An 18,698-nucleotide genomic window follows, 5' to 3' on the forward strand; every position below is an offset into this window, starting at 1 on the left:
AAAAATGGCCAAAAGATTTGGGCAGATAATTCATAAAAGAAAAACATAAAAATGACCCTTAAGCATTTAAAAAGATATTCAACTTCATTAATGGTAAGAGATGCCATTTGTCACGTATCTAGTTGGCAAAAATGTTAAAAGCCTGACAACACACAGTGTTGGTGTATATATGTAGAAAACACTCGCATGCACTGCTACTGTGAGTGCGAATGATGCGGCCTTTATGAAGAAGACTTTGGCAGGATCTAGTAACACTACATTTATGTTTACTTTTTGACCCAGTAATTCCACTTCTAGGAATTTACACTGAAGACACACCTTCAACAGTACAGAAACATACCTATGCAATGTGATTTGCTGATATATTATCTGTAACTCCCAAACACTGGAAACAATCAAACATCCACATGCAGAAGAGTGGTGAAATAAAACCCGGTACCTGCACACTTAGTGTGCCACGCAGCTGTGAAAGTGGATGAGAAAGATCTCCATAAGCTGATATGGACTGATCTCCAGGATACATTAGCAACCAAAATAGAACAAAAAACACCAAGTACAAAAGAATATATGTAATATCTTACCTTTTGCACAAGAAAAAGAATTAAGAACATTAATGTGTTTATTTAAAAAATAAGAAGAAGAAAAGGCCAGGAACAAATGATATAAGGGTAGGGAAATGAGGTGGAAAGAATAGGAGAGGCGCTGGGCGCAGTGGCTCACACCTATAACCCCAGCACTTTGGGAGGCCAAGGAAGGCTCCTGGGTTGAGCCCAAGAGTTCAAGACTAGCCTGATCAACGTGGCAAAATCCCATCTCCACAAAAAAACACATGAAAATTAGCCAGGCATGGTGGCACACGCCTGTGATTCCCAGCTACTTGGGAGGCTGAGGCAGGAGGACTGCTTGAGCCCAGAAGGCCAAGGCTGCAGTGAGCTGTGATCATGCCACTGCACTCCAGCCTGGGTGAGGGCATGAGACCTTGTCTCCAAAAAAAAAAAAAAAAAAAAAAAAAAAATAGGAGAGGAAGTGGCACTTCTCTGGGTAACCCTTTTTATATAGTTTTGATTTTTGGAATCATATTAACATTTTATATAGATTTGACCAGGCGCAATGGCTCATGCCTGTAAGCCCTGCCCTTTAGGAGGCTGCGGCAGACAGATCGCCTGAGGCCAGGAGTTCAAGACCAGCCTGGCCAACATGGTAAAACCCCAGCTCTATTAAAAATACAAAATTTAGCCAGACATGGTGGCATGCGCCTGTAGTCCCAACTACTCAGGAGGCTGAGGCACAAGAATTGCTTCAACCCGGGAAGCAGAGATTGCAGTGAGCCAAGATCATGCCACTGCACTCCAGCCTGGGCAACAGAGCAAGACTCCATCTCAAAAATAAAACAACAACAAAAAAAAAGGCCGGGCGCAGTGGCTCACGCCTGTAATCCCAGCACTTCGGAAGGCCGAGGCGGGCGGACCACAAGGTCAGGAGATCAAAACCATCCTGGCTAACATGGTGAAACTCCATCTCTACTAAAAATACAAAAAATTAGCCAGGCGTGGTGGCGGGCACCTGTAGTCCCAGCTACTCGGGAGGCTGAGGCAGGAGAATGGCGTGAACACAGGAGGCAGAGCTTGCAGTGAGCTGAGACTGTACCACTGCATTCTAGCCTGGGTGACAGAGCGAGACTGTCTCAAAAAAAAAAAAAATTATATAGATTTAGAAATATAAAACAGCAACTCAAAGAACTGTAAAAATAAAAAAAGGAAAAAAGATTTTAAAAATCAGCAAAGATGGGGAAACTCATTAATGATATATAAACAGCAATAATTACATTTCAAATAACATAATCACACTGACAGGAAGCATTAAAGGACAAATTCAAGTAACCTCTGACTGCAGCACCCTGTGTATTTATCCTTGGTATCATGACCAAGGATAAATAACCAAAAGAACCACAACCAATCCTTGAACTCTAACTCTAGGTACGGGTTTTGTTAGTTAGTTAGTATGAACTTGACATAACAGTAGAACTTCTCAAAGGGCCTAGAATCAATGAACCTTAGGAGCAATGAGCATGCTTAGTGACCAGACCTTGGTTTCTAAATACCACTTTCCAACAAAAGAAACTAAAACTCCTTAGAAAAACGTCCGATTCCAGAGCTGGAACAGGGAAAGTACAAAATGAACCTAAAATATCTTTCTATGTTTTTGAGATGGAGTCTCATTCTTGTCGCCCAGGCTGGAGTGCAGTGGCGAAATCTTGGCTCACTGCAACCTCCGCCTCCCAGGTTCCAGCGATTCTCCTGCCTCAGCCTCCCAAGTAGCTGGGACTACAGGCACCCACCACCACGCTCAGCTAATTTTTGTATTTTTAGTAGAGACGGGGTTTTGCCATGTTGGCCAGGCTGGTCTTGAACTCCTGACTTCAGGTGATCTGCCTGCCTCAAATTCCCAAAGTGCTGGGATTACAGGTATGAGCCACCGTGCCCGGCCTGAACCTAAAATATCTTGAGCCTGAAAGTAAACATATGTTCAATAACTGATTGAGGAACATGTCAAAAGGTTTTAAGAATCAGCTTGAAGAGCTTCCATTGGCCAAATCTAGCCAATGAGCTACAAAATAAAGAATAATAGCAATGGATTAGAACCTACTAAAAAAATAATGATCCATAAGTCCATAACAATAAGTGGATGGATGGAAAGAAAGAAGGAGAAAAGAAAAAAAAAGCTCCTGCTTATAGTAAAATGCGAATAAACACATAAGGAATGATGAAGCAAGAAAATCGCCATTTGGCAGCCAGCACAGTAATAACTGACTCAGGTGAAACTCTTCACTGAATCAGCCAGAACCAGTGGGTGAAAGTGTGATGACAAACAAGATGTATACAGTCTCAAACTATTTCCCACAAATTACTTATTATTTACATCGAGAAAAATAGTAACTTTACAGTGGAAAACTCCATCAGACTCCACTTTAACCAATTATCAAAGTTAGCCTCACCAGTAATGGGACAAATGAACCTCATGTGCCTCTGATTTAATGCATGATGGATCACTTGACCCCTCCTTCTGCCCTGCCAAAATGCAAAACCTCATAATCAAAAAGCAACTTCAGGCAAACACAAAGTGAGAACATTCCACAAAATAAATGGCCTGCATTCTTCAGAAATATCAATTATCATGAAAAACGAAGATAGGCTGAGACGATACTAAGTGCCATAAACACTAAATGCCGTGTGTGATCCTGGACTGGATCCCGCATCAGGAAATAGAACTGCTGTATTGGAACAGCTGGTGGAATGCAAATAAGGTCTGGGGGGTAGATAAAGGTATTGAATGCATCAACGTTAAATTCTCTGATTTTAATCACTGTACTGTTTATGTGAATGACCTTGTCCTTAGGAAATGCACACCGAGGTATTCAGGACAGGGCCTCAGGTCTGCAACTCACTGTCAAATCGCTCAAAAAAAACTTTGTATATGCACAGAGATCAAATAATAAAGCAAATGATAACAACTGGGAAATACGGGTGAAGAGTACATCAGAATTATCTTTACCACTCTTTTATAAGATTTATAAGTTTTAAATTATTTCAAAATCAACAGTTTAAAAAAATTAGAATTACAGTAAACTCATTAAGCTACAAAACAATTCTATTATATTAAAAACAGGATGTATTTCGTAAAGACAAAAGCGCTAAAACATATACAACTGGGAATATAAATGAAATGAAAATGGGGAAGATAAATTACAAATTAAGATCATAGGCCATGATCCACTGGTCTTTGTGTCTGGGAAAGGAAAGGAAAAAGGAAAGGAAAGGACATAGGCCATGAGCAGAATGAGTCACTTCATCACTTACACACTCATAACACTCGCTAAGTGTCAGGTGCTGAGCTGGGCACGGGGAATCCACTGCCACAGCAGTGTGTGCAATAATTAAAAAGTCACCACCCGGGTCGGGCACGGTGGCTCACGTCTGTAATCCCAGCACTTTGGGAGGCCGAGGCAGGTAGATCACCTGAGGTCAGGAGTTCAAGACCAGCCTGGCCAACACGGTGAAACCCCATCTCTACTAAAAATACAAAAATTAGTTGGGTGTGGTGGCACATGCCTGTAATCCCAGCTACTCAGGAGGCTGAGGCAAGAGAATCGCTTGAACCAGGGAAGCAGAGGTTGCAGTGAGCTGAGATCACACATTGCACTCCAGCCTGGGCAACAAAAGCGAGACTGTCTCAAAAAAAATAATAATAAATAAATAAATAGTCATCATCTGGACACCATGATGAAAGGAACATAAGCGTCAGGCCAGCCTTTGGCTTTACTGACAGCTGCCAGACACCTACTGAAGAACAAAGTCTTTTTTTTTTTTTTTTATACTTTAAGTTTCAGGGTACATGTGCACAATGTGCAGGTTAGTTACATATGTATACATGTGCCATGCTGGTGTACTGCACCCATTAACTCGTCATTTAGCATTAGGTATATCTCCTAATGCTATCCCTCCCCCCTCCCCCCACCCCACAACAGTCCTCAGAGTGTGATATTCCCCTTCCTGTGTCCATATGTTCTCATTGTTCAATTCCCACCTATGAGTGAGAATATGCGGTGTTTGGTTTTTAGTTCTTGCGATAGTTTACTGAGAATGATGATTTCCAATTTCATCCATGTCCCTACAAAGGACATGAACTCATCATTTTTTATGGCTGCATAGTATTCCATGGTGTATATGTGCCACATTTTCTTAATCCAATCTATCATTGTTGGACATTTGGGTTGGTTCCAAGTCTTTGCTATTGTGAATAGTGCCGCAATAAACATACGTGTGCATGTGTCTTTATAGCAGCATGATTTATAGTCCTTTGGGTATATACCCAGTAAGGAACCAAGTCTTGAAGGAAGGTCTGATTCTTTTTCTTCCCCAGGAACATAAAAATTCTGGAATAAGACTGGAGATACATCATCAAAAGAATTAAAGGGAAATTGACCCAAGAAGAAATATGAAGAAGTTGTGGTTTTTAAGCAAGCTGAAAGAAGATAAAGGAAGCATGACCAAAAAATATTCTACAGTAGAAATTTTTAAAAAATAAAAATAAAAAGAAGGCCAGGAGCAGTGACTTACACCAAAAATCCCAGCACTTTGGGAGGCTAAGGCAGGAAGATCACTTGAGCCTAGGAGTTCGAGACCAGCATGGGCAACATAGTGAGATCCTAACTCTACAAAAAATCTAAAACTTAACCAGGCATGGTGTCATGGCCCTGTAGTCCCAGCTACTTTAGAGGCTGAGATGGAAGGATTGCTTGAGCCTGAGAGGTTGAGGCTGCAATGAGCCATGATCATGCCACTGCACTCCAGCCTGGGTGACAGAGAGAGACCCTGTCTCAAAATAAATGAATAAATAAACAAATAAATAACTGAAATCATTTAAATGTGTTCTCCAACCACAACAGAATTCTTTTTTTATAACAGAACTATTTTAGATATCAACAACAGAATGAAATTTGGGGAATTCACAAATACTTGGAAATTAAATAGCACACAGCTAAATAACCAATGGGTCAAAGAAGAAATCACAAGACAAATTAGAAAACACTTTTTTTTTTTAATTTGAGACAGGTTCTCTCTCTGTCCCCCAGTCTGGAGTGCAGTGGTGCGATCTTGGCTCATTGCAACCTCTGCCTCCCAGGTTCAAGCAATTCTCCTGCCTCAGCCTCCCCAGGAGCTGGGATTACAGACGTGCCAACATGCCCAACTAATTTTTGTATTTTTAGTAGAGATGGGGTTTCACCATGTTGGCCAGGCTGGTCTTGAACTCCTGACCTCAAATGATCTGCCTGCCTCAGCCTCCCAAAGTACTGGGATTACAGGCATGAGCCACCACGCCTGGCCTAGAAATTAGAAAATACTTTGATTAGCTGGGTATGATGTCATGTGCCTATAGTCTCAGCTACTTGGGAGGCGAAAGCAGGAGGATCTCTTGAGCCCAGGAATTCTAGGCTGCAGTGAGCTGTAATCGCCACTGCACTCCAGCCTGGGCAACAGAGTAGAACCTTGTCTAAAAATAAGAAGAAGAAAATAAAAATAAAAATAATTGGAAAAAAAATACTTTGAGCTGAAAACTGGCCAGGTACAGTGGCTCACACCTATAATCCCAGCATTTTAGGAGGCCAAGGTGGCCAGATCACTTGCGGTCAGGAGTTCAAGATGACCTAGGCCAACATGGTGAAACCCCATCTCTACTAAAAATACAAAAAATTAGCCGGGCGTGGTGGTGCACGCCTGTAATCCCAGTTACTCGGAAAGCTGAGGCAGGAGAATAGCTTGAACCCAGGAGGTGGAGGTTGCAAGTGAGCCGAGATCATGGCACTGCACTCCAGCCTGGGTGACAGAGTGAGTCTCTGTCACACAAAAAAAAAGAAAAGAAAAAGAATACTTTGAGCTGAAAAAAAAGCCATAATATACTAAAAATGATATGCCACAAAAGCAGTGCATAGAGGGCAATTTGTAGCTATAAATACTTACATTTTTTAAAAACAGGCCAGGTGCAGTGGCTCACATCTATAATCCCAGAAGTTTGGGAAGCAGAGGTGAGAAGATCACTTGAGGCCAGGAGTCCAAGACCGGGCTTGGTAACATAGAGAGACCCCATCTCTACAAAAATTTAAAAAGTAGGCAGGCATGGTGCATACCTGAAGTCCTAGCTACTCAGAGGCCGAAGCTGAAGGATCACTTGAGCACAGGAGACGACTATAGTGAACTATGACTGTACCATTGCACTCTACCCTGGGCGACAGAGCAAGACCCTGTCTCTTAAACCAGAAGAAAGAGCTCATGTCAACAACCTAAGAAACTAGAAAAAGAAGAGAAAATTAAATTCAAAGCAAACAGAAAGAAGGAAATAAAGATTAGAGCAGAAATAAATGAAAGGGGGAATTGAAAAACAATAGAGAAAAGTCAACAAAAACCAAAGTTCATTCTTAAAACAACCACAAAATTATGAACTAGCTAAGAAGAGAGAAGAATCAAGTTACTAAAATCAGAGCTTAAAGAATAGACATTACTACCAACCTTACATAAATAAATTGTAAGACAATATTATGAACAATTATACACCAATGAATTATCTAATTTAGATGAGTTGGGCAAATTCCCAGAAAGACACAAACTACTAAACCCAACTCAAGAAGATCTAGAAAATCTAAATAGACCCATAACAAGTAAAGTGATTGAATCAATAATCAAAAAATCTCCCAGAAAGAAAAGCCAGGGACACAATAATAGACAGAGAGCCAAATCATGAGTGAACTCCCATTCACAATTGCTTCAAAGAGAATAAAATACCTAGGAATACAACTTACAAGGGATGTGAAGGACCTCTTCAAGGAGAACTATAAACCACTGCTCAACAAAATAAAAGAGGACACAAACAAATGGAAAAACATCCCATGCTCATGGATAGGAAGAATCAATATCATGAAAATGGTCATACTGCCCCAAGTAATTTATAGATTCAATGCTATCCCCATCAAGCTACCATTAACTTTCTTCACAAAATTTTAAAAAACTACTTTAAATTTCATATGGAACCAAAAAAGAGCCCAAATAGCCAAGACAATCCTAAACAAAAAGAACAAAGCTGGAGGCATCACGCTACCTGACTTCAAACTATACTACAAGTCTACAGTAACCAAAACAGCATGGTACTGGTACCAAAACAGATATATAGACCAATGGAACAGAACAGAGGCCTCAGAAATAACGCCACACATCTACAACCATCTGATTTTTGACAAACCTGACAAAAACAAGCAATGAGGAAAAGATTCCCTATTTAATAAATGGTGTTGGGAAAACTGGCTAGCCATATGCAGAAAACTGAAACTGGACCTCTTCCTTACACCTTATACAAAAATTAACTCAAGATGGATTAAAGACTTAAACGTAGGACCTAAAATCATAAAAATCTTAGAAGAAAACCTAGACAATACCATTCAGGACACAGGCATGGGCAAAGACTTCATAACTAAAACAGCAGTGGCAACAAAAGCCAAAATTGAGAAATGGGATCTAATTAAACTAAAGAGCTTCTACACAGGAAAAGAAACTATCTTCAGAGTCAACAGGCAACCTACAGAATGGGAGAAAATTTTTGCAATCTATCTGACAAAGGGCTAATATCCAGAATCTATAAAGAACTTAAACAAATTTACAAGAAAAAAACAACCCCATCAAAAAGTAAGCAAAGGCGAAGGATATGAACAGACACTTCTCAAGAGAAGACATTTATGCGGCCAACAAACATACGAAAAAAGCTCATCATCACTGGTCATTAGAGAAATGCAAATCAAAACCACAATGAGATACCATCTCACGCTAGTTAGACTGGCGATCATTAAAAAGTCAGGAAACAACAGATGCTGGAGAGGATGTGGAGAAATAGGAATGCCTTTATACTGTTGGTGGGAGTGTAAATTAGTTCAACTATTGTGGAAGACAGTGTAGCGATTCCTCAAGGATCTAGAACCAGAAATATCATTTGACCCAGCAATCCCATTACTGGGTATATACCCAAAGGATTATAAATCATTCTACTATAAAGACACATGTACATGTATGTTTATTGCAGCACTGTTCACAATAGCAAAGACTTGGAACCAACCCAAATGTCCAACAATGATAGACTGGATTAAGAAAATGTGGCACATATACACCATGGAATACTATGCAGCCATAAAAAAGGATGACTTCATGTCCTTTGCAGGGACATGGATGCAGCTAGAAACCATCATTCTCAGCAAACTAACACAGGAACAGAAAACCAAACACCACATGTTCTCACTCATAAGTGGGAGCTGAACAATGGTAACACATGGACACAGGGAGGGGAACATCACACACCAGGGCCTGTCAGGGAATGGGGGGCTAGGGGAAGGACAGCATTAGGAGAAATACTTAATGTAGATGACGGGTTGATGGGTGCAGCAAACCACCATGGCACGTGTATACCTATATAACAAACCTGCACATTCTGCACGTGTATCCCAGAACTTAAAGTATAATAAAAAATAAAAATAAAGAAAGGCCAGGTACAGCTGTCTTCAATGGTGAATTCTACCAAATATTTAAGGACAAATTAACACCAATTCTTCATAAACTATTCCAGAAAACATAAGAGGAAGGAACGTTAACCAATTCATTATATGAGGCTAATGTTGCCCTAATACCAAAACCAGAAACAGACATCAAAAGAAAACTACAGATCCACATTTCTTATGAATATAGACGCAAGGCCGGGCGCAGTGGCTCACGCCTGTAATCCCAGCACTTTGGGAGGCCAAGGCAGGTGGACTGACTGAGGTCAGGAGTTCAAGAGCAGCCTAGCCAACATGATAAAACCCTGTCTCTACTAAAAATACAAAAATTAGCTGGGAGCAGTGGCACATGCCTGTAGTCCCAGCTACTCGGGAGGCTGAGGCAGTAGAATCGCTTGAACCTGGGAGGCAGAGGTTGCAGTGAGCCGAGATATGCAACTGCACTCCAGCCTGGGCGACAAAGCGAGACTCCATCTCAAAAAGATAGATAGATAGATAGATAGATAGATAGATAGATAGATAGATAGATAGACAGACAGACAGACAGATGCAAATATCCTCAATAAAATATTAGCACACTGAATCCAGCATGATATAAAAAGGTTTATACAACATGATCAAGTGGGATTCAGCTCAGGAATCTAAGGTTAGTTTAATGTCTGAAAATTAGTAGAATAAAGGACAAAACCACATGATCATCTCAACAGACACAAAGAAAGCATTTGATAAATTCAACACCCTTTCGTGATGGCACTCAACAAACTAGGCTAACCAGGCGCGGTGGCTCACGCCTGTAATCCCAACACTTTGGGAGGCGGAGGCGGGTGGATCACAAGGTCAGGAGATCGAGATCATCCTGGCTAACACGGTGAAACCCCGTCTCTACTAAAAATACAACAAAATTGGCCGGGCGCGGTGACTCGCGCCTGTAATCCCAGCACTTTGGGAGGCCGAGGCGGGTGGATCAGGAGGTCAGGAGATTGAGACCATCCTGGCTAACACGGTGAAACCCCGTCTCTACTGAAAATACAAAAAAATTAGCCGCGCGTGGTGGCGGGCACCTGTAGTCCCAGCTACTCGGGAGGCTGAGGCAGGAGAATGGCGTGAACCTCGGAGGTGGAGCTTGCAGTGAGCTGAGATCGCACCACTGCACTCCAGCCTGGGCGACAGAGTGAGACTCCGTCTCAAAAAAAAAAAAAAAAAAAAAAAACAAAACAAAACAAAAAACGAGGCATAGAAGGGAATGTTCTCAACCTGATAAAGGGCATCTGTGAAAAACCCACAGCTACCATCATGCTTCATGATAAAAGACTCTCCCTACAATCAAGGATAAGACAAGTCATCCAAATTAGAAAGGAAGAGGCCGGGTGCGGTGGCTCACGCTTGTAATTCCAACACTTTGGGAGGCCGAGGCAAGGAGATCACGAGGTCAGGAGATCAAAACCATCCTGGCTAACACGGTGAAACCCCGTCTCTACTAAAAATACAAAAAAATTAGCCGGGCGTGGTGGCGGGCGCCTATAGTCCCAGCTACTCGGGAGGCTGAGGCAAGAGAATGGCGTGAACCCGGAAGGCGGAGCTTGCAGTGAGCCGAGATTGCGCCACTGCACTCCAGATCGGGGGACAGAGTGAGACTCCGTCTCAAAAAAAAAAGAGAAACGATGAAAAACTCTGTCTCTTTTCAGATGACATGATCCTGCCTCTAGAAAATCCTAAAAAATCCACTAAAAAACTTTTAGAGCTAAGAAATGAGTTCCACAAATTTGAAGGATATAAAACCAATACACAAAAAATTGTGTTTCCATATACTTGCAATGAACCATGTGACAATGAAATTAAGAAAACAATTCCATTTACAATAGCATGAAAAAGAATAAAATACTTTTTATTTAACCCAAAAAATTTAACCCCCATAAAAAGTATAAAATGATGTTCTGAAAACTCAAAACATTGGCTAAAAAAAATTAAAGAAGGTAAATGTTGAAAAGACATCCATGTCCATGGATTACAAGATATAATCTTCTTAAAATGGCAATATTCTCCAAACTGATCAACAGTTTGGAGAATCTCTATCAAATCTCTATCAAAATCCCAGCTGGATTCTTGGTAGAAAATGACCATCTGATCCTAAAATTCATACGGAAATTCAAAGGATCCAGAATAACCAAAACTATCTTGAGAAGAAAAGAACAAATTCAGAAGACTTACACTTCCCAATTTCAAAATTTACTACAACCTACCTGGGGTGGGGGAGGTATGGGTAATTTTTAAATTTATTTATTTTCTTTACCTTTATTTTCTAAATTCTCTATAATGAAGATGACTTTTACAATAAGGAAAAAACATGATTTTGTTTTTACATTTTTTTTTCTTTCCAACTTTTATGTTCAAGGGGTACATGTGCAGGTTTGTTACATGTATAAGTTATTTTTTAAACATGCACACCTACTGCTTAAAAAAATGTATAAAGAGATAAACAAATATCTAGTGAAAAATAACTTATAAATAAGAGTATATTTAAGTTTTTCATAAATTGAAAACTTAAAAGCAAAAACCCATCAAGTTCCTAGGGAAATTTGTATAACATATAAAAACAAATTCATTTTCAAAAGTTCTAGTTGACCAATGAAAACCCAACAAACAAAGGGAAAATCACATTTGATAGTCAACTTTAAACACATGGAGAGGAAAAGGCCTAGAAATTACAGCCCCAGCCAGGTAATGTGGATCACGCCTAAATTCCTAGCGTTTTGGGAGGTTGAGGCAAGAGGCTCACTTAAGGCCAGGAGTTCAAGAAATCACAGCTCCTGTAATTCAGATATTAACTCAATATAATGGAAGGAAACCTTTCCCTAGGAGACAGTGGAATTCTGTGCATAAGACAGGATAAACTCAGCCCAAAGTGCACTAGCCACAGTGATGATTTTTTAAATAGAATTCTAAAGTTAGAATATTGTTGAAAAGCTGCCAAAGCCTCTGAAAGACGGAAATACATGCATGAACACACATATATATAAAGTCTACCCCCATGCTGCATATAAATGTTAGCTTATTTTTGCTTACTCATGGGCACTAATTACTTTAATGGAGCCAGAATATTTTAAATTATGACAGGTAATCAATATTACATGACTTGTCAAATCTAGTTAACGAATTTACTCTGTTGTGTAACCATAATACGTCTAAGACATCTAAAAGCAGTGAAAATACCTTTGTATGTTTTTGTTTTCTGGAAGTCTTTACAAAATTCCAGGCTTTTTCTATACATCTGAGAGATATTTCTATATGATTTTTACCTTGTGAAACAAACAACAGATACTGTTGTCAAAATTCTGTCATTGTACACAGTGACTGAAGACCGCCATACTCTAGCTAATCCGCTGGACAATGAGGCACTATGCCAGGCACTGTGCGAGGGAACAACAGGAAAAAAAGGAAGACAACGACCGTATTCTGGAAAGGCTTACAATCTGTGTCAACACTGGGGATTTTTTTCCTTTAGTTAACGAAATGGAATCAATCAAATACTGTTTTTGAACTTTCTGTAGTCATGACACTACCTTTATTAGTGTGATGACCAGAAAAGCCTTAAATGACTTTGTTAGCTCAACTAGCAGTGATCACCACTGCAGAGTAAGTAATGCAGAAATTAACTGATAGCAATGATTCTGCCTACATTCGACCAAAAATAAACCTACGCCGAACTCTGCAAGGTGAATGAAGAGATAAGGTCCCTCATGACAAAAAAAAAAAAAAAAAAAAAAAACGGGCAAGAAATCAAACAAGCAAATAGTTTTCAGTAAATGATTCCCTAAAAAAAGCAATAGAGTATGGTGGTTAAGAGGATAAATCCTGGGTGCAAACTCATGAGTTTGAATGCCCACATCACCACTTACTAGCTATGACCCTCAGCGAGTCAGAAAACCTTCCTGCATCTCAGTTTCCCCATTTATAGACTAGGGATAACAACAGTACCTGTCTCCTAGAATCGTGAAGATTAAATTGCTTTAGGTGTAAAGTTTATATAGAGCACCTTAAGTCGTAGATATGACATCAAAAGCACAGGAACAAAGAAAACATAAACTGGATTTCATCCAAATTTAAAACTTGTATTGGCTTCAAAGGACACCATATCAAGAAAATGAAAAGATAACACACAGAATGAAAGAAAAATTTTGCGAATCATATATCAAAGGACTCATATATAGAATATATAAAAAACTGTTACTAGCCAGGTGCAGTGGCTCACGCCTGTAATCCCAACACTTTGGGAGGCCGAGGTGGGCGGATCACCTGAGGTCAGGAGTTTGAGACCAGCCTGGTCAAAATGGTGAAACCTCATCTCTACTAAAAATACAAAAATTAGCCGGGCGTGGTGGCATGTGTCTATAATCCCAGCTGCTCAGGAGGCTGAGGCAAGAGAATCGCTCGAACCCGGGTGGCAGGGGTTGCAGTGAGCCGAGATCACACCACTGCACTCCAGCCTGGGCGACAAAGCAAGATTCTGTCTCAAAAAAAAAAAAAAAAACTGTTACAACTCAACAATAAAAAGACAAAAAGACAACCCAATTTAAAAATTGGTAACTATCTAAATAGATATTTTTTCAAAGAAAATATAGAGATGACAATAATCACATGAAGAGATGCACATCATTAGCTACGAGGGACATGCAAACCAAAACTACAATGAGACACCAGGTCACATCCACCAGGATGGCCACAATCAAAAAGGTAACAAGTATTGACAAGGATGCAGAGAAATTAGAACTTGCATTCATTGCTAGTAGTAATGTAAAGTGGTACAGCCACTTTGGAAAACAATCTGGCAGTTTCTGAAAAAGTTAAACGTTGAGTTACCACATGACCCAGCAACTCCCCTTCCTAGACATACACATAATAGAATTTAAAACATATGGGCCAGGCACAGTGGCTCACACCTATAATACTAGCACTTTGGGAGGCTGAGGCAGGATCACCTGAGGTCAGGAGTTCAGGACCAGCCTGGCCAACATGGTGAAACCCCTTCTCTACTAAAAATACAAAAAAAATTAGCCAGGCATGGTGGTGGGCACCTGTAATCCCAGCTATTTGGGAGGCTGAAGCAGGAGAATCGCTTGAACCCAGGAGGCGGAGGTTGCAGTGAGCCAAGACCGCACCATTGCACTCCAGCCTGGGCAACAAGAATGAAACTCCATCTCAAAAAACAAATAAATAAATAAATCAAACAAACACATGTCCACACAAATGCTTATAACATCATTATTCATAATAGCCAAAAGGTACAAATGATACAAATGTCCATCAACTGATGGAATATGGAAAAACAAAATGTGGCATACACACACACACACACACACACACACACACATCACATATATACACATATACATACACATATATAACACATATACATACACACATATATACACATATACACATATATACACATATACACATGTATACACATATATACATATATACACATATATACATATACACACATATATATACATATATATATACACAGAATGGAATATTATTCTGCAAGAAGAAAAAGAAATGCATACTGACACGTGCTATACGCATGAAGCTTGAAACATACAGTAAGTGAAAGAGGCCAGTCACAAAAACCACATACCATTATATGTATGATGCCATTTATATGAGATGTCCAGAACAGGCAAATAATAGAGAAAGAAAATAGCTTACTAGTTGCTTGGGGGTAAGGGAAGGACATAGGCAAAGGAGAGTGACTGCTAACAGGTATATGGCTTCCTGCTGGGGTTATGAGAATGTCCTAAAACTGATTGTGGTGAGGGTTGCACAACTTTGTAAATATACTAAAAATGACTGGATTTTACCCTTTAAATAGGTAAACTGCATTAAAACTAGTTTGTTTGTTTGTTTGTTTGTTTTTTTAAAAAAAAGCACCTTAGAACAGTGTCTCTCACATAATAAGTGCAAACTGCTCATTTTTATTACAGGAAGAAGAAACTCTCCTCCACATGAAAACGGAAAAAGCAATTATGAGTCAACTAAAATTATCCAAAAGATCATTTTACGTAAAGTAGTTGCTGAATGTACACGAAATGTTTAGAAATTAAATTAAAAAAAAAAAAGATGCCAGGCACAGTGGCTCATGTTTGTAATCACTTTGGGAGGCAAAGGTGAGAGGATTGCTTGAGGCCAGGACCAGCTGGGTCAACACAGAGAGAGACTCCATCTCTATGAAAAAATTAAAAAATTAGCTGGGCATGGTGGCACACACCTGTAGTCCCAGCTACTCCAGAGACTGAGGTGGCAGAATTGCCTGGAGTTCAAGGGCGCAGTGAGCTAGGATCGCGCCTGTGAATAGCCACTGCACTCCAGCCTTGGCGGCAGAGTGAGAACCTGTCTCCAAAAAAAAAAAAAAAATGAAAGAAATGAAAGAAAAAAACACAAGAAAAAAGAGTTTTAAGAATCATTCCACTTTAAAAATGCAGATAAAGAACACAAAGGCCTAGCTGCTAGAAATGCTGGGAGGGGAAGCTTAGTTCTTAGGATGAGAGATGGAGGAGCCCCCGAAAACCGTGAAACTCTTCTTCCGGTTTTGGAAACGGTGGTGAGGAAAGCGGGTAGGAAAAAAATTTGGAAACAGTTTGCTTCAAACATTATGTCCATTTAAAACTCAAAAATCAAATGAAAGTGATGTAATTTTGTGATAGCTTCACATGAATGGGTTTTCCGGGAGCTGAACAATTTTACAACCCCTGAGAGAGTGTTAGCTATTCAGATAGAGAGGCTGTGAAGAATCAAATTGCATTGCTCCTAGGAGCTAGGAAGATTCCCTACCAGCACTGTCACTGCTAACACATTTGCAAGGGTTTAGAAAGGACCAACGCTTGAAAGACAGATATGATTTCAGTAGCGAGTCAGTCCTGATACAAAGGTCCCCAAGAGCAGAGGCCAGAAGGCATTAGCAGGAACTGGCGTGGCCTGGAAGGCAGGAACCAGAATGTGGGGCCAGGACGGCATCTCATTCTCTTTACTCGCTCTCCCATTGGTAAAGAGAAGTCAGGTCCACACGTTTCTCATTTGGGACCATTACAGAGGATGTCCTCACATACCAAACACTGGTTTCTGGGTCCTTCCTGGCAGTTTTCACCTCTACAGCAGAACCTTGATGCACCCTTGAATAACAAAGCCCCACAGAATCTCCTCACTTTTCCTCCCAACACTCTAAACTCAATTTCACCTCTACACAACCTTATCTTGAAAAGCGTCGGAAATCTTTTTAAAATGCCTTATCTCAACAAACGCCTGATTTTTCTTATAGCTCTAAGCTACTTCTATATGGTGTACACATCTAATTCTCCTACAACTAATGTGATTGACACACTGCAATTCAGTATTTTATAGCAGGCATAACCAGCCAAACTGGGGCTCAGCAACTCATACTGGTCAAATACCAGTACATTCAACATCCATTTCATTTGTCATCAGTGTTGGCGGGGCTTTCAGCTCTTCAGTGGCATAAAGTCTGCCCGCCTGACTGTCCCCCAGATGCCTTCTCATCAGCAACTCAGGTCTCCTGAAACCAAAACTAAGCATTTGTTGTCCTTTCTCTACACATTCCACAAACTCCATCAGGAAACTTAGCCACGGCCTAGAGAAAGGAGTGAACGCAAATGTTAAAACCAACGCCTGCAAACCTGGGGCAACTTCATTTCAGAGCCAAGATGCACGAGGCGATGAAAGCGAATGTGTTAGTCACAAAGGCTGTGTAAGCACAGCCATCTGATTTCAATTCTAGACTGTTTTCATTTTGTATTATTTACCCTGTCATTGTTTCTCATTAAGTCAGAAAATAATAGAGCTCATCATGAAATAATTAAGCACTGTAATAAAAGAGGTTTTTGCTGTATTAATTACAGAAGATATTACAAGGGGAAGAAAAACCTGCCTTTGTAAAAACTACGAGATTTCTTTCCCTGTTAAGAACACACAGACGAAATGCAGTAGAGAATTAACTCACGTGGAAGGGAGCACAAGCCACAAATCAGAGCAAAGTCGTGATTACAAATGAATTCAAAATTAACAGGACAAACATGCTCAATGCATTCAAAGAATTAAAGGCACAATTCTCAAATCATTCACTTAGCCATGCTAGAGGAAGAAGCCTCCTCTTCAACAGACAACATAAAGCAACGGGGTGCCCATCAAGCAAGGACCCACCAATCAATCATCAAGCTTTTAACAGTTCTGATTTAAAGTTACTTAAATCAGAATGTTCCAAAGATCATCATCCAGAAATTTTAACCATTCATTCACATCACCATGAAACAAGCACTTAAAAAAATAACCAAAAGAAACTAAACACATAGATCATGTACCTGGATCAATGAGAACTTCCTGTGCCCCTGGAAGAAAGAACAGATTATGGTATTTTATTTGGAAAACAAAACTACTTTTAAAAATAACTACTAAAACACATTTCATAATTCACATAGCCTAGAGAAAAATCTGACTTGTATCTGATCAGAAAAGCAATTCTGAGGAACAGTATGTTACAAGTTTGGTGCCTTTTTGCTTCAGACAGGAAAAGAGAAAAGAAAAGCTACTATTACTCATACCCTAAACAAATTGTTAAGTGCCTCCTCACCTCTCTGCCTTCCCACTTTCTATGTTCATGCTCCCAGTTCTTTTTTTTTTTTTCTTTTCTGAGACAGAGTCTTGCTCTGTTGCCCAGGCTGGAGTGCAGTGGCGTGATCTCAGCTCACTTCATCCTCTGCCTCCCAGGTTCCAGCAATTCTCCTGCCTCAGCCTCCCAAGTAGCTGGGACTACAGGCGTGCGCCACCACGACCGGCTAATTTTTTTTTTTTTTTTGTATTTTTAGTAGAGACGGGTTTCACCATGTTAGCCAGGCTGGTCTCAAACTGCTGGGATTACAGGCATGACCCACCATGCCCGGCCTGCCAGCTCTTCTTAAACAAGTATGACAATTCCTTATTTCCACAAATAAGCCAAGTGACAAAGGATTATTATTTGTGCAAATGTATGTCAGCAGCCTAGAATGGGGGAGAAAAGGTGCCAGTGGCTCTGTGGAACTTTTCACAACCCCCCTAAAATACATCTCTCTATATATATATCTCTCTCTCACACACACACACACACACACACACATACACACACAGAATAATTGGACACTTCATCAAGTTAAAGATTTCCAGCTTTTAGAAGGTAGCTTTGTAGTTAGCTTAAAATACAAAACTATTAACTTCACTATTATGAAGAAACTTTTGAAAGCCTTGGTGGTCTGCTAAACTACCCAAACATCTGTGTGATCCAATTCAACTTCTCTATAGAATGCAATTTCCCATCATGGCAAAACACACCTCAAGGGGTACTGGTTCCAAGAGTCATGTTTATCATTAGCTATTTTCATTTTTAAACATGTTAAGAAGATTCAAAAAGGTATGTCCCAATAATCTTATGGAAATAGCACATGTATTCAATTGTCTACACAGAGAAGAGGCCCCATGATTATGGTGCTATTTAAGAGCTATTTTGTGTACAGCCATCTGTTTGTAAACGCAGACTAAAAATCACTGCAATCTTGACGCCACCATT

At 40.1% G+C, this 18,698-nt stretch overlaps 1 protein-coding gene across 16 annotated transcripts in view; it reads right to left on the minus strand.

The window, feature by feature from the left end:
• The window catches only part of TRAPPC9 (trafficking protein particle complex subunit 9), a 730,855-nt gene that overhangs the window by 681,430 nt on the left and 30,727 nt on the right, over positions 1–18,698 (minus strand). For 11 of the 16 annotated variants that reach the window (NM_031466.8, NM_001374684.1, NM_001374683.1 and 8 more), the window contains one exon: positions 17,461–17,487. The exons of the other annotated variants lie outside the window; for them this stretch is intronic. In NM_031466.8, coding sequence (NP_113654.5) covers positions 17,461–17,487 — 27 coding nt within the window. The remainder of the gene's footprint in view (positions 1–17,460; positions 17,488–18,698) is intronic. 16 annotated transcript variants of the gene reach the window in all.

Source organism: Homo sapiens, chromosome 8 (assembly GCF_000001405.40).
Source record: "Homo sapiens chromosome 8, GRCh38.p14 Primary Assembly".
In the NCBI taxonomy this organism is placed as follows: Eukaryota; Metazoa; Chordata; class Mammalia; order Primates; family Hominidae; genus Homo; species Homo sapiens.